Source organism: Homo sapiens, chromosome Y (genome assembly GCF_000001405.40).
Source record: "Homo sapiens chromosome Y, GRCh38.p14 Primary Assembly".
In the NCBI taxonomy this organism is placed as follows: Eukaryota; Metazoa; Chordata; class Mammalia; order Primates; family Hominidae; genus Homo; species Homo sapiens.
The window spans coordinates 9,324,695-9,341,013 of record NC_000024.10 but is presented as its reverse complement, the minus strand read 5'-3'; the positions used below and the strand labels follow the sequence as shown (position 1 = coordinate 9,341,013).

The 16,319-nt window shown below is 49.1% G+C and overlaps 1 protein-coding gene, 1 long non-coding RNA gene and 1 pseudogene across 5 annotated transcripts; 1 reads left to right on the top strand and 2 right to left on the bottom strand.

Annotated features, from left to right (window-relative positions):
* Nucleotides 1–735: 735 nt before the first annotated feature.
* On the bottom strand, nucleotides 736–3,550 carry TSPY4 (testis specific protein Y-linked 4). 4 transcript variants are annotated; one of them, XR_001756006.2, is made up of 6 exons: nucleotides 3,001–3,550; nucleotides 2,316–2,393; nucleotides 2,076–2,187; nucleotides 1,829–1,967; nucleotides 1,641–1,733; nucleotides 736–946 (listed from the first exon to the last, which is right to left on the bottom strand). XR_001756006.2 is itself a non-coding variant. In XM_005272743.5 (6 exons), the coding sequence occupies exons 1-5, from the start codon at nucleotides 3,502–3,504 to the stop codon at nucleotides 1,671–1,673; spliced, it is 903 nt and encodes a 300-aa protein (XP_005272800.1). In that variant the 5' UTR covers nucleotides 3,505–3,550; the 3' UTR covers nucleotides 736–946; nucleotides 1,641–1,670. The 4 variants fall into 4 exon arrangements, 3 of the variants coding, with proteins under 3 accessions (XP_005272800.1, NP_001157943.1, XP_016885554.1); XM_005272743.5 differs by having other exon boundaries at nucleotides 1,829–1,974; NM_001164471.2 differs by having other exon boundaries at nucleotides 1,641–1,722; nucleotides 1,829–1,974.
* Nucleotides 3,551–6,181: 2,631 nt separating this feature from the next.
* Nucleotides 6,182–11,134, top strand: TTTY20 (testis expressed transcript, Y-linked 20). Its single transcript, NR_001546.1, has 2 exons — nucleotides 6,182–6,263; nucleotides 10,958–11,134. It is a non-coding gene; the product is annotated as a testis expressed transcript, Y-linked 20 (long non-coding RNA).
* On the bottom strand, nucleotides 10,427–15,524 carry RBMY1GP (RNA binding motif protein Y-linked family 1 member G, pseudogene; annotated as a pseudogene).

The following is a 16,319-nucleotide window of genomic DNA, read 5'->3' as shown; positions in this document are numbered from 1 at the left end:
AACATCAACAAGAGTGTCCATATCCTGGGTCATCAAGTGACAAGAGAGTCCATGGATGGATTCTCCAACAATCTTATATTCCACTAATCCACCCCCTTTCCCCTCACTTCTGTAAGTTTCTGTTTTCCCTTAGTCATGTCTGCCAAAAGCGTATCCTGAATGCCTTCCCACATGCCTCTGTCACCTTTCCCACAGTCCCTCCATACACCTTACATGCCCATTTCTTCTCACGTTGATGTTTCAGAAGTCCTGAGAGGCTGATTGTCCCAGAAAAGGATCATGCATTCACCTTTAAAAGAACATGTGGATTCAACACGAAAGCGAACTTTAAGATTTCCATCATCCTGTGCTTAGCTACTGTGTATGATGATACCCAAAATGAAGGATTTTGGAGGTCCCAGCAAACTGGGCCCTGGAAACCCAGTAACCCCTTTCCTTGAACTATCTCTGCTTCCATAGGACGAAGTCAGCCTCCAACTAAGCTGTCTTTTGCTTTTACCTCTCCCACTCTGTCCTGTAGGAAGAATCCCAACACATCCCACACCCATTCACTCTACAACTTTAGAGGCCCAGCTCCAACGCAGACTGGTTATTTCCATGAAGAGAATAAAGCACGTGGATTGATCAATTCATTATGACACCCGAATAAAGTGGATAAACATACACACACACACACACACACACACACACACAAACACAAAGACACACACACACACACAGACACAGAGTCACACATCCTTGAGAATGTTTATTTTTCATTCCATACAATCCACATTTACCCCCTCTTCCTGAATTTTTGTGACTCGATCTCTTTTTCCTTTAGTTCCTGTGCATAAGACCATGCTGAGTACTGCCGTCCTGCATATGGCTGTAACTTTTTAGGAGTTCTGCTGTATTAGGTAAAATCTGATGCTCCATCATATTCAACTCAACAACTGGGAGTCCCCTAGAGAAACACAAACTCATGTTAAAACGCATTTTCTCTGAGCCATACTTTGAAATGTTTCAATTGTGGGGCCCGCTGAGAAAAGGATATCCCTTCCCCATTTGTGATCCCTTAAACTTCCTCCTACCACGTGTTACAAACTGTTCTGCGCAATCCCTGCCCCATTCCCAGTATTGTCTGTGAGGGGAGTCAGCTAACAAGATGCACTGGACCCTAAAAGCACACACAAGTCTGATGGGGCAACAGCTTAAGGAAATCCATCAATCTAAACAGTCCTTTGTGGTTTGGGGCAAGGATGACCAGGACGCACATTCAGGGAGCCCAATCTCATGGGGTTGGCGGGATGACTGCCGGTGGGGTTGACAGCCGTGGAATCAAGTGCCACAGACTGAACTGAATGATTTTCAGCTTTACTTCTCATTGATTCTGGAAATGGACGATTCTTCACTGGGCTTAAGACTCCACAGCTATCACCCGCTTTGCAGTGCAGTCTCTAACGTGCCTTTTCAGCCCAATGCCATGAACGTCCTGGATTCTGTCACTCTCTGTCTTCCTCTCAAGGAATTTCTACATGTACGAAAGGAGCCTCAATTTCTACATTTCTGAAATGAGCACCCAGGCTCCCTGAATAGGCAGGTGTGTCAACCCCCTTATACTGGGCATCAAACAGCTCCAGTGCCAACTAACGGCTCACCTGACGTCTCTGTTCCCTCTTCAGGTGGCTTCATCCTCTTGTAGTATTGCAGGGGATTGCGCCACAGGTCCTTACATAGGATCTGTCAGGGGACTCAATCGGGAAAGGCCTCATCAGGGCTCAGAAAGGTGACCCAAGCAGCTGGGAACACATGGGGTCATTCCTCATGTTTCCCAGTGAGGACTCACCTCAGCAATCTTGTTAGATCCTGCGAAGTTGTGGTCAGAGAACCAGTTGAAGAAGTTAAGGCTGCTGTTGTGGTGTCTGCGGCGATAGGCCTCCACTTCATAATCCGGATACCACTCAATTGGAGTGGAATGAGAAGCCCTGTATTCTACAGAGACAGGAGTTTTTGTGGGAAGGGGGCTGGATCCCGTTGGCAATGATCCACCCACCATCTTCCTTCCACTACCCATCCTGGGAGCCACCTGTCACCTGTGATGTTCACCAGATATTCCTTGGTAATCACTTTATTCTGGAAGTAGGGGTTACTCCGAAAGAACAACATGATCTTGCAGAGATGAACAGGATGCTTCTCTTCTTCCACCTGTCAGGACAAGGTGGAGAAAGCTTAGATAGGTTTTCGGGTGAGGTGCTCACTCTTGCTTACAGGAATGAATTATTTCCCTTACCCTCCCCCGCTAAACCCTCTAGCCCCAGTCTTCCTGGCCTCACCTCCAGGCTGACCATGTAGCTCAGCATGTCTTCATCTTCGTCAGTGATCAGGGCTGACATCTGGGGGTGGTTTGCAATCTGATTTAGGTCAAAGAGACTTTACACACGATGGAAGGGAAAGCGAGGAGCAACAGGGAAGAAGGCCTAAGAGCACCCAGAGGCTGGGGTAGGGGATTTCTCAGATCTGCTTCCATGTATGATCTCCTTTCGCCTCCCCCTCCCCGTAAACTAAGGCCTCCTGTGTTCACAGAGGGTGTATGATTCTGAGGCTGACTGCACTGACATGGGGAGGCGCGATTTGCAGAGACTTGCTGGTGTCTGAGGAGTGGCAGAATCTGCTTATAGCCGAAGACGCCCAGTCCCAGATCGGACTAGCAAGGGGCAGCAATCACACTCCCTTAAAAATAGCTTCATTCACTGAAAAACCTCTTCCGCTCTGAACTCGCTTCTGCTCTTCAAAAAGATGCCCCAAACGTCTGCTGCTCGGCATCACCAAGGGTTTCTCTGCCGCATGCAGGACAATAGTACCCACGCCTGCTCCGGCTTTCCACAGCCACACTGGTCCGTGGCAACTCCCCTTTGTTCCCCAAAGAGTCACATCGACGCCGAGCTGCCCATCGGTCACTTACACTTCCCCGAGAGCACCTCTCCACTAGAAAGGCCGAAGAAACACTGAGAAGGATACAACATTGGCCCAGAAGCCAGGGACGCTCTGGATGACGGCGCCTCTGCGGTCTAGGTGGGGCTTGCGCCTCCGCTCCATCTTTTCCCGCTGCCGAGAAAAGGCCTTCCTGGCTTGGGCATTAACCGGCTCCAGCTCCACCTGAACGGCCAGCAGCTCCTCCAGTGCAGACTCTGGGGTCATGGGCCCAGGGCCAGGCACAGCCTGCTGTGCCCGCTGGGCCTCCTCCCGCCGCTCCACGAGGCCCTCCTCCTCCGCCACCACCTCCACCTCCGCCACCACCTCCACCTCCGCCATTATGTCATCCAACAGCAGCACCGCCTCCTCCCCCAAAGCCGCCTGCTCACTCTCCACCCCGGCCGCCCCCTCCTGTACAGCCTCCATCCTGAAGGCGGTGCCCTCCTTGGCACTCGCACACACCAAGGCCTGTGCTGCCCGACCCACGCCACAGAAACCCTGCCGCAGCCTCTCTGGCACCCGGTAGGTCAGCGAGCCCTCAGGGCGCATGCGCCGGGCTTCCAGGCGCCCCCTAAGGGACTGCGCGCGAAGGGCCGGGGGGCCGCACCCAGGCCGACTTCCTCCCGTCGTGGCCAGTCAATGGGAGGGCGGTGGGCGTCTCCCTGGGCGGCACAGCCACTGGCGGGCCTGCATCTCCAGCCCCCCCAACCCCCGCCTTCCCTGCCCAAGCCTCCTCCGAGAAGCCCTTGGAGCTTGTGCCGGGTAGCTAGGCATCCGGGCACACGCGGGCTGCGTGGCCTTTGGAATTGTGGGCATGGCAGCCCTGTGCCCTGACATCCTCAGTGTGGCAAGCCATGAACATCTCTATGTGTCATGAACACAGGAAACATCTCTCTTCGTTAGGCAGGCCAGGTAGATGGTACGGAGGTAATACAGCAGATGCAGAGAACTCTCTCTGGTTGCTGGGGCTAGGGCGGCAGGGGTGTCCTGGGGGAAGTGATCGGGGCGGGCACGTGGGAGGAAAGTCGCCTGCCGGTGCTGAGGTGGAATTGATCTGCTGTAGAGGCCAGAGCCCCGGCACACACTCTCACAGGTCGAGGCAAATAGAGGCTCCGAGTACCATGCTTCCTCCCTGAGGATGCTGTACTCCAAGGAGCATTCCAAAGGGCCTCTTGTCCTATGCCCTGGGCACACCAGAGGCCAGCCGCCAGGGTTGGCCATTGTCGGCCTGCGCGCACGCTGTTGTGCGCTGCCTTGACGACCCAGAGGCTCCCGCACCCGCAGCAGCGGTTGCGGTGCCTGTTGGTGGGGCTCTGCAAGCCCAGGGCCGGGGCCTCTGGCTCCCGAGCTCCTGTGCGCAGTTGAGCCTGCTGGGGACCGGAGCCCTTTGGCCAGTGCGGGATCTGCGGGTCCAGCGGAGCTCCTCAGGAAACCTGGGTCCACGTAGGTGTGGGACCAGGTTCACAGCAGGGCGACGCCCGTGGGTCTTGCAGGGAGCGGGTCTGCTGGGGAGCGGGCCCCCAGAGCCTACGGGTGCGGGGCATGGGCTGGGCTGGGCTGGGCTGCGCAGGCCCAGGGTCTGTGGGAGCACCCAGGAGAAAACCGTGTTCAGGCTGGAGGCAATGCTGGAGAGGACGGCCGGGGTACAGAGCAAGGAGGCGGCCTTGGAAGAGGAGGCGGTGCTGAAGGTGGAAGACATCATGGCTGAGGTGGAGGTGGTGGTTGAGGTGGAGCCCGACGTGGGGTGGCAGAAGGAGGGCCAGCGGGCACAGCCTGGCCCTGGACCGAGCACACCGGGGCCGTCAATGGACTCGCTGGAGGTCCTTCACTTGGAGCTGGGCTCCGTGAATGCCCCAGGCCACAGAGCATCTCCGCCTTGTGAGCCAGAGCCATATCCTTGCGGCTGCCGATTTGGGATGGCGGGCAGCAGGGGATAGTCATCGGGCCTCGGGGGGTATGGGGGCTGTTTGGGGGGAGGAGCCAGGTGGGAGGCGCGTGGGGTCAGCCAGGAGGCAGGGGATGGGGGACAGCGTGGGAGCCGAGGCCACGTTCCCGCAGCTGTGAGGGCAGCTCGCTTGTAGCAGCCCTGGGAGCACGTGGTAGGGAAGGGGAGCCAGGGCCAGCACTGACAAGGGAGAATCGCGGCGCCAAGGTCCCTTTGCGCACAGCCCAAATTCGAAGGACACGTTTCCCTGGGAACGTCCCTGGAGGACGGGGAATCTGTATGCCATTACCAGCCATTGAACCACCCCTGCTCTCGGTGCCTGTTTCCAGCAGGCTCACCCCAGAAACACAAGGTGCTTAAGACGGGTTCGCGGCGCATGGGGCTGCCGACCACCTGACGGCGGGCACCAGCTCCGCAGATGCGCATTCTTCCAACTGCAGGCGCTGCACTCAAAGGGGTGTAGGCCCTGAGCCTGTATAACTTCCTCTGGACCCACGCAATTCCCTTGGAGAGCGCCAGGCACGACCCTGCTGTGGCTTCTAACTACAAGGCTTCCCTCAGGTGGACAGGCCCACCCCTCAGGGAGACTAGGATAAGAGGACACCACACACCCGGACATCAGCGGAGCATGTCCAGCACCCAGCACACAAAGGCCTCCTGCATCTCAGAAACCCAGAGAAGCAGCCGCCTCACACCACCCCCCGCCCCTCCCGTCCCTCAGCTGCAACCACCTGCCCACTTTTTCTGCCTCCGGTCTCTGGTCAGCCCAGGCCGTCTTGGCCGGGGTCCACCCACTCCAAAAACCACCACAGTTGTGGCGTTGCCTCCTCCCCAGACAGAGATAGAGGGCCAACAATGAAGGGTGACTGGCCAAATGTCTGGGAGATGGCCCTGTTCCACATTGTCTGTGTTCTTGCGAAATTGCAAGGCGTCACGAGGCTTGCCCACCCAATCCTCTGGAGAGTTCTTGCGCAGAGGTAGATTGTTTGGCACACGAGATGTCGGCGTGGGTCAGAAAGCATGCGGAAGTCCTGCTTTGCTACGTGATGGATTTGCAGGTCAGGCTGGGGAGCCTGGGTCTGTGGGAGGAGTCCAGTGTCTGAGTCAGTTTGAGGTCCCCCTGGGACCAGGGTCGTCTCAGTGGCAGAGCTGGGAAAGGGAAACTCATGGCTCACTACAGCAAGTAGGCCACCTCAGCCCAGCTAGTTGAGATGGTCCCATTGAATCCATCCTCTTTCTCCTTGATCCGGCAGGTGGAGGAACACAGCCATCCCGGTTACCGGTGGCAGGATGATTTCCTTTCATCCCAACCTTTATTTCCACAGTGAAATCATCATGAAGGAGCACTGTGTTGGCATCCTCGGTAAGGAATGCCTCCCAGCATGGTAGGAGAGCTGGTGTGTGGGAGGGTGGAACTGGCATGAACCTTCCTGACTCCTCTCCCTGCAGGCTACAGGGTGTCTCATTCCACTGCAGTCCAGCGGTTCTGGGTTCACGAAGGTTAAGCCTCCAGCTGCAGGCAGTACACCTCCTACCTGAGCTTATTCAGCTGTTTGGCTGAACATGACTGCCTGGGTTTTGGCACGAGTTCGGAGGTGGTGTTTGCCGTGGGGCATCATGGGAAAGGACCTAGCTGGTCATTCCTTGGTCTCTGGGGAATTGGCTTTAAACTGTCACCTGAACTGTCCTGGACCCACTTCTGCAGTCCCCTAGATCATGAGCCAGGGCCTATGGCTCAATCCATTGCATTTCTATCCCATGGGGACTGGGTCAGCCTTAGAGGCGTAACAGAGAGGAGGCCAGTCGAGCAGCCCAGGGCTGGGAAGCGCTGGGAACTGAGAGGCCTTTTGACCTGGATCTGGGCCACACATGGAGAACCCAAGGATCCTGGAGGAGACTGCAGTGAGCAATCCCAGACAATCCATGGGTTGGGGGAGAGAGACCCATCAGGGACATGTAACACCCACATTTCACGATCGGGGCCCCTTAAGCCACTATGATGCATATGTGGCTAAAGTCAGTGGGTGACAAGCAGGGCTAAAGGGATAGCTGTCTCATTATCATTCGCCAGCTCCCTGCCCTGCGGTAAGACCTGCTACCACCTGGGGCTCATTTTGAGATCAACCAGGGCCCCCTTTTTCTCCACGAGGATGTCCACCTGAGGCCCACCTAGGTCTGTGTCCTTTCACAGTGTTTCTCCCAGGCCAGTCATGTTTTGTTTCCATGACCCCGGCTGCCTTGACATGTGTAATCCTCTCTGCCATCCTCACTCCCGCTGCCCTGCCTTCCCATATAAGTTAGTCCACCTCACACGGAATCTGGAGGACCACACTGGGCTCCAGTGTGAGGCAATGTTTTATTTTCTTCAGGTACATGTATTTTAGGGCTACCTCCAGGGCTGGGAATGTGAAGAGATTGCCAAATGGCTGGGGACCTTCAGTGTGTGTCCAGGGAGGGAACCCGGCTGGGAATTAAGGCCCACCTGAGTAATGGTATGGACATCCAGTGTCAGTTATCTTGATAAAGGCCTGCTTTCTTACATCACCTACTATTAGTATAAAAGTTAATTCCTTAGAATATTGAAAAAACAAATCTGTGTATGAGGAAATATAATTCGTTCATAATTGTATGGAAAAAACTGCTGACTGATCCATTTTCCATTACAATTCTTATGGGAGACTTGAAGTGTTTAGCAAGTTTTAAGATGCATTTTTATTCTTCTACTCCTGCAGTTCTTATGATCATTTTTGTAATAGAAGGACATGGCCTCTAGAAAGTTTTTGAGGGACTTTCAGCTTCTTTTAGGGTAGATAGTTGTAAATTTTGAATTTTTTTCCCTTGTGGTTCTTTTCAGATTACTGTTTGTACTTTATATGGGGGGTGTTAAATTCTTTTTCTTATTTGCCCCTTGTGGAAATGGTAGGTCTGGGGAAAAGGAAGGAAATAATAGGCTAGATATATGTAAATTATGTGTTGGAAATAGAAGCTTAGGTGACAGACAGTAGTTGATTTGTCTGGCCACAGTCGTTTTGTCATCTGTTATATTCTTATAACTACCTATTTATGGGCTATTTGCTAATGACTATTTAAAAAAATCTGTTTCATCAGCAATGGCCTAAAAATGCAAGTAGGTACTTAATTGAAAACTACTCAGTTTCCCGTTCAATCAAATTATGGTTTAAAGAGTGCCAGTAAACACATGGGGTAGTCATGATACCCATGGGGTAGCCTGTGATCCCATGTAGTCCATGTTGGGATCACAGGCTAAAAGTGATATCCTGAAATCCAGAATACAGATGGCTGAGGGGAAAAAGCAGCTGCTATTTCATAACATAATAATTAGTTACATTAAGAAAACTATGCCTGAAGATGACATTTTCACAGGTTTAGTGTGTGAATTTGGAAAAATTAAGCATATAATTCTGAGATGCCTGGCTTTTTATTTATATTATATTACTATTTTAAAAAATCAATTGTGTACATTTTAATTCTAATTTTTCTGCACTTAAGAAATATGCATCAGTAATTGTTAGTATGTTAGCTCCATTAGCTACAGAAGAAATTCCAAAAGAATTGAATAATGCCATTTAGATGTTTCAAATAGAAAATTACATTAAAAAACAGTTTGAATTTTTAATCAATCATTGCAAACAAAATAAAGCTTTTGAAATTTATTGTGCCAGAAATAAAACATTGAACAATGTGTGATAAATGATTTTTAATGTTCAGTTAAAAAGCTAAACATTGGTGATAACTTTTATTGGTGACAACAAGAAGCAACTTTGGAAAAGCTTGCAAGTAACTTTATTTAAAAATCAATATAACATTAAAAGAAATGCATTTTCTAGAAAAGAACTATGTATAATTATTGTTAAGAAACACATTAATTCATATAAATATGTTCAGAATCGTTATTCTGCCTACTATTTCTAATGTTTAAACAATAAATTTAAAGAAGTTATTTTTCTCTTTTGCTTCAAGATATACTATTGTGGTTTTAAATTTTTCAAGGTATTTCATTTTCAAAAATATTTGGAAGGTAACTGTTTTATAGATCCAACCATACAGTAAAAACAATTTGCCTGTAAGGAAATAATATATTAAATAATAAATGGTTTTGTATATGTTCGTACTCTTTTATCCTAAAAAAGTTTCCATTGGATCAATAAAGGTTTTAGTCACCCTAATTTTACTAAATATGATTAGATAGTCCTGTGGATTGATGGGAAAAATTATCATTCCTTACATTCTTGACTACACTCAGTAATTATTATTTTAATAGTTGACAAGCTAATGAACAAAAGTTGGAACCTAATGTGGTTTTGATTTATATCCCCAGATTACTAATGAGTTCAAGCATCTAGCCATTTTTCGTTGGTCAGTTGACTTTCCTCTTTTCTAAAAAGGATCTAATTATTTACCTGTACTGCTTTCTTCTACTGGGCTAGATTGTATATATTTTTTCCTGTACATTTGTATGAGTTATTTTGATTATTTTGCATAGTGGTAATTTTATTTATATTCTTCCTAGTGATGTTCTGAAGTTTTACAAACACCCAAGATAGTTTTTAGAATTTATCATCTGAAGATTTTCCAAAAGCTAACTCAGAAGTCATTTGAGGCCATAATGCTAACTTCAGATGAAAAAATTATTTTGCCATTTTAGCAAAACATACTTTAAAGACACTAATTAGAAAGCACTGAAGTGCTCACTTCTATCTTTTTAATAAAACTTGCATTTAAATAGTCATTTCAACAAAATCCTTTACCCTTACAGTAAGAACCAATTATTAAATGTTGATTACCTAGCTCCTGGATGATTGTCTAAATATTTCACAATTGTCATTTTGGTAATAATCACTTAGCATACTTGTGAGAATTACTGGTTCTCCAGGTCTCATTCCAGGTGATTGAACCAGGATTTTGAAGTAAAATAGCTATAAGTTTCTGGGTATATGTTTTATTTATGACCCATGTAATTATTTGAGGATGTTTGTGAAACTCTGATCTGACACATAAGAGAAAGTAAAACAACAACAAAAAACCAAAAACAGAACAACAACCATAAAAAAAAATAAGCCCCACACAAAGAATATCAAGCCAGGAGTCAGGAATAAATATGATATCTTTTCATAACGGCAGCCTTCTCAATTCATATGGCCCTATCTTCTTTTTCATTCTTGGTAAATACTACTCCAACTGTCTAGCACTTCACGGTAGCGATTAACCTGTTAGTTTGCAATTTAGCAAAATATATGAAACCTATTTCTGAACATTTTCTTTAGGATCATTTTTCTAGCTATACAACATGGGTCAGTTAATGCTATGTATGGCTATAAAATAGCAGTATTTAACAAAAATATTTGACCACTGTGGCAAAATTATCTTCTGTAATGAACCACTGCTACTAAGATTACATTGACATTTTGGAGACTGTACTGACATTTTGGATATTATATACTCAAGGAAGATTGGAAAGCGTCTTCAGATGTCATTGTCTATAATGATAAGAGTTAATACTCGTATTAACTTTCAAATTTTTCTATGTTAAAGCATGCGTGCAGGTATTGGATGAACAGGTAGGCCACAGAAGCATGGCTGTGGTTAAAGTTGTAAAAGTTTTGGCAAAATTGTGCACACCAACATCTCCACAGAAAATTTAGATTTTGGCTCAGCTAGGAGATGTTGAAGAAAATTATATTTTTTATTCTTAATGATTCCCCAGCTGGTTCTTAAAGGCAGATAGCACAATATTGTGGAAAGAGGTAGTTTTGCAATCTGAAATTAGACTTTAAGAGGAGTTAATGACTTTGAGAGTCAAATTTCAGATGTATGAAGTGGGGTCTGAAATATCTAGTACCTTTGTGTGTAGTTATAAAGATTATATAATAACAATTGATTCTATTTGCCTTGTACTTTTCTGTAAAACAAAGACATAATTTAATTGTGTTACTTAGTATAGATTTGTGTGGGCATTTTTAAGGATAATTTATCTCATCATAAATAAAATGGTAATACTGGCAGAGAATGGTACTTACTCCAACATTGACATTGCAGAGCTCCAGCTGTTCTGTAGAGAAACTGGCGTGAATTGAAGAAAAAAAAACTGGACGATTGAAGGTTACTTACGGGCCACTCTTCATTTACTAAGACTATGTAATTCTCAGAGAGGACACACAACCTGTGAAGAGTTGGATGTAAATGATGAAGAGTCATTGAGAAAAGGCTGCCTGAAGAATCATCCTCTACATTTCTAGCTTGAAATACAGGGTATTTGGTGCTGTGAATTTCTGAAATAGTGGAATACTGTAGGAGGAAACATGTTTTGGGGATGAAAGGAAGGTCTGGTTTTGGTATGTGGAGATGTAAGGCATGAAGTTGGATATGCCAAGTCTGAAGGTAGAACAAAGATCTGGCCTGAAGTTGAGAATTTCTTAATGGTCAGCATAGAAAGGGTGTTTTAGCCTTGAGAAAACCCAAGAGGATCCATGACTGAGATCTGAACAACTTCAACACCTGTAGATTTAGTAAAGATGCCAACAAACTACACACCAAGTTCATATTAAATGTATTAGGAAAAGACAAACAACTTAGTGAGAGGCATTCAGGCAACTAGCATTTAGCTAGCTATTAGGTAGCAAATTTCGGAAAAAATAAAATGTATAAAGAATCTTTGATCAGGTTTCCAAATATACAAAATAAAAACCACTTACATGTTAGAAGACAATATACAAAATGATATTATGTTAATGGTACTATTTAATGCTAATAGACAAAAATGAAAATTATTCTGAATTAAATCAATAGACAATATATTTTCTATCACTGTCTTTTCTTCTCAATTTGTGTGTTGTTTTAATTCACTAAGCAATGACTCCTCTTAATTCCACTACTTTTTATTTAACACTGCATTTTTTTTCATATGTGCAATATTACGCTGCCCAATAGAGAGGAAATGCAGAATTTGGTCTATTATATCAGAAACACCTTAGTTTTTCAGCTTTGGGCTTGTGCAGTGTGGTTAATTTAAAGGTTCTCATCAGGCTTTGATTTTTGTAGTTTCTGTAATCACTTCTCCAAAATAAACAATGTCTGAAACTAATGACTACAATAAAATTAAAATTATGCTGGCTTTTAAGATAATTATGTTTATGTAAATTTGATGCTTTTTTTGGGGGGTGTGGGGTGGGGGAGACAAAGCTTTGGTCTTGTGACCCAGGCTGTAATGCAGTGGCGTGATCTTGGCTCACTGCAACCTCCACCTCTCGGGTTCAACCGATTCTCCTGCCTCAGCCCACCAAATAGCTAAGATTACAGGAACCTGCCACCACGCCCAGCTAATTTTTGAATATTTAGTAGAGATGGGGTTTCACCATGTTGACCAGGCTGGTCTTGAACTTCTGACATCTGGTAATCCACCAGCCTTGGCCCCCCAAAGTGTGGGGATTACAGGCGTGAGCCACCCCACCTGGCCTTCAAATTATGTTTTCATACCCACTCACTTCCACAATTGTTTGGAACTATCTGCATGTTCTCCTCAGGGGTGGGGGGATGGAAACAGTATCAGAGTTCTTCAAAAATTTATGAAAGAGAGAATGACAATACTATACAAGGTTTAACCTATTCACAATACTGTGAGCCCAGTGTGGTTCTCCAGATTCCCTGTGTAGTGGCCTCTCTTGTCTGGTGGGGCAGCGTGGGGCAGGGAAGTGTGAGTGATGATGGCAGAGAGCAGAAAGCATCTCAGGGAAGCCTGGGATCATTGTAACAAAAAATGATGGGCGTGGGACAGCCCATCAGGGAAGACATAGGGACCTTGGGAGGATATCTGCGTGGAGGGTGAGAGGGCCCTGGTTGAGCCCAAACTGAGTCCCAAGTGGTGGCCGGCCTCAGGCCTCAGCTGGTGAGGGATGATGAGACAGCTACCACTTGAGTCTTGCTTCTCACCCATTGACCTTAGACACTTATTCCTCTTAGGCGGCTTAAGGTGCCCCAATCCTAAAATGTGGGTGTTACAGTTCTTTGATGGCCATTTCTCCGCCAGCCCATGGATGGCGTGGGATTGCTCACTGCAGTCACCTCCCTGAGGCTTGGATTCTCCATGTGGGGCACAACTCCAGGAATAAACGGCCTCTCAGTCCCCAGCCCTAGACTGCTCACCTGGCCTCCTCTCTGTTCACTCTCTAATGGCCTCCCTCCCTGGAGAAGTACTGCAGGGGATTGAGCTACAGGCTCTGGCTGATGATCTAGGGGACTGCAGAAGTGGGTACTGGTTAGTTCAGGTCATGGCTCAAAGCCAATTCCCCAGAGGCCAAGGAATGACCAGCAAGATCCTTTCCCATGATGCCCTACCTGGCGCTCACCTCAGCAATCCTGCCAGAACCTGGGCAGTCATGGTCAGCCAACCAGCTGAAGAAGCTCAGGTAGGAGCTGTACTACCTGCAGGTGGAGGCTTCACTTTCATGATCTCACAACCACTAGACTACAGTGGAATGAGACATCCTGTATCCTGCAGAGAGAAGAGTCAGGAAGATTCATGCCAGACCTACCCTCCCACACACCAGCTCCCCTACTATGCAGGGAGGTGCTCCTTACCGAGGATGCCGAAGCAATACTCTTGAATGATCACTTCATTGTGGAAGTAAAGATTGTGATAAAGGGAAAACTTCATCCTGCCTCCGGTACCCGGGATAGTTGCGTTCCTCCCCTTCCCTGGCCAAGAAGGAGAAAGAGGATGTACTCAAAGGACCATTTCACGTAGCTGGGGTGAGGTGAGCTGTTAGCTGGGGTGAAGCATGTGTTTCTCCTTCCCAACTCTCTCATTGAGACACCCCCGCATCCCAGGGGTACCTCAACCTGACCCAGACACCAGACCCCTCCTGAAGACTCAGGCTCCTTAGCCTGACCTGCAAATCCATCACATACGTAACTTAGCAGGACTTCATCATCATTTGTGATCCCGGCCAACATCTGGGTGTGCTGCACAATCTGCCTCTGGTCAAGGAGCCGCCAGATGATTGGGTGGGCGTGCAAGGAAACACCCTGCAAGTTTGCAAGAGCACGGAGAGTGTGGGGCAGGGCACCTTCCCTTCCAGGTCCTCTGTCTCTCTCTGGCGTGTAGGGCACCATCAGAGCTGTGGTGGTCTTGGTGGTGGGTGGAGACAGGCCCAGACAACCTGCTCTGACCAGGGGCTGGCACTGAAGAAGTTGGCAGGGGGTTGCGGGCAGGGTGTTGTTGTGTGAGGCAACTACTTGCTCAGTGTTTCTGAGCTGCAGGAGGCCCTCCTGTGCTGGGTGCTGGACAGGCTCTGCTGCTGTCTGGGTGTGTGGTCTCTCCTTCTCCTGGTCTCCCTGAGGGGTGCATGTGTCCACCCCATGGAACTGCTGTGCGTAGAAGTAGCTACAGGGCTGTGCCTGGCTCTCCCCATGGAGCTCGAGTGGTTTCAAGGGAGGTTATATATGCTCAGGGCCTAAACATCTTTGGGTGCCGCGCTGGCAGAGGGAAGAAATTGTGTCTGGGGAGATAGTGCCTGCCTTGCATAGGACAGCAGCCCCGTGCACAGTGACACCGAGTCTTGAGCACCTTGTGTTTCTGGGGTGAGCTTGCTGGACACAGGCATGGGGAGCAGGGAAGTTCCACTGCTGGCATGGGCATGCAGACTCCCCTTCCTCAAGGGACTTTCCCAGTGAAACGTATCCTTCAACTTTCTGCTGTTACGAAGGGTCCTTGGCGCTGCTATTCTTCCTTGTGAGTGCTGTGCTTGGCTTCCTGTCCCTACCACATGCCCTCAGGGCACATGCAATTAAGCTGCCCTACTATCTGCATGAGTCTGTTCTCGGCTCCCCTTGTTGTCCCCCATGCCCTGAATCCTGGCTGACCCCCAGTGCCTACCACGTTGTTTCCCCCACCTCCATTCTCAGGAGCTCGGCGCCCATCCCCTGCGGCCAACCATCCCGAATTGGCAGCTGCAAGGATATGGCTCTGGCCCAGAAGCCGGGGATGCCCTGCAGCCTGGGACATTCATGTAGCTGCGCTCCAAGTGAAGGACGTCCAGCGAGTCTGTTGCTGGCCGGGGCGTACTGGGGCCAGGGCCAGGCTGTGCCTGCAGGTCCTCCTGCTGTGGCTCCACATTGGCCTCCTCCTTGGCCACCACCTCCATCTCTGCAATGATGTCATCCCCCACTAGCATGCCTCTTCCCCCAGGGTTGCCTTCCTGCTCTGTGCACAGGCCATCCTCTCCTGCACAGCCTCCAGCCTTAACATGGTGCCCTCCTTGGGGCTCCAACAGAGCAAAGCCTGTGCCTCCCACCCCACCTGCCCCCGGCACCCCTAGACTCTGGGGGCAACTCCAGGAGAGACCTGCGGGCCTTGCCCTGCTGAGAACCACATCCTACACCTATGTGGAACAGGGTTCCTGGGGAGCCCCACAGGACCCTTAGCCTGTCACACTCACAATGGGGCTCAGATACCCAGCAGGGTTAGCTGCGCACAGCAGCCCTGGAGTAGGATGCCAAGGCCCTGGCTTCCAGAGCCCCGCTAGCAGGCACCACGGCCACCCCTGCACTTGTGAGGGCCTCTGCACCAGCAAAGCAGTGCACATGGATCACTGCATTGGCGACCATGGCGGTAGGCCTCCCGTGTGCCCAGGGCACAGGATGAGAAGTCCTTTGGAATGCCCCTGTGAGTACAGCATCCTCAGGGAGGAACCATGGAACTCGGAGTATGTATTTGCCTAGACCTGAGAGAATCCTTGCAGGGTTTCAGCTTCTGGTGCAGATGAATTCCACCTCAGCAACGTACCAGTCGACTTTAGTCCCACGCACCCGCCCTGCCCCAATCCCCCCAAGCCACCGCTGCTGCCCTCGCCCCTGCAGCAGCGCTGGTCCCTCTCTCTCCCCTCTGGATCCGCAATATTCAGTACCATCAGCCTAGCCTGACTAATGAAGTGAGATGTTTCATGTGTTCCCTGTGGGTTAATTAATGTCTTGCCACACTCAGGATGCCAGTTAGTGTGTAGGTCTTCCATGCCCACAATTCCAAAGGGCTCACAGTTCGCCTGTGCCTTAATCCACCGCCGCCCGCCACATGGCACAAGCGGGGTCTCAGAAGAGTTACAGCGAGATGATGGAGCTGCAGGCCAGCCGGGGCTGGGTGCCTCAGGACTCACCCACAGCCTTCGCAGTAACTGGCTGACGCCCACCGCCTTCTCAATGATTGGCCGCTGGAGGTAGGCGGGATTTCCGGGCACGGCTTCTGGCGTCCTTCTCTCTCAGGGTAGCTCCAGGTGTCCTTCCCGCAGCTGGCCCTGTGGTGTTCCGAAGCTGGATACATACGGCCTGAGGGCCAGGCGAACCTCAGGCTCTTTGTCCTAATAAAAAGCGCAGGTATTTTCTGTTTCTCTGGACAGCTGGGTCTCTC

Bases quoted from the DNA above. Each gene is read 5' to 3' on its own strand.
- TSPY4 (NM_001164471.2), bottom strand. From the start codon at position 3,504: ATGCGCCCTGAGGGCTCGCTGACCTACCGGGTGCCAGAGAGGCTGCGG. The intron at 1,975-2,075 runs GTGACAGGTGGC...CTGTCTCTGTAG, and splicing joins ATATCTGGTGAACATCACAG to AATACAGGGCTTCTCATTCC. The intron at 947-1,640 runs GTGAGCCGTTAG...GTGTTTCTCTAG, and splicing joins AGAGGGAACAGAGACGTCAG to GGGACTCCCAGTTGTTGAGT.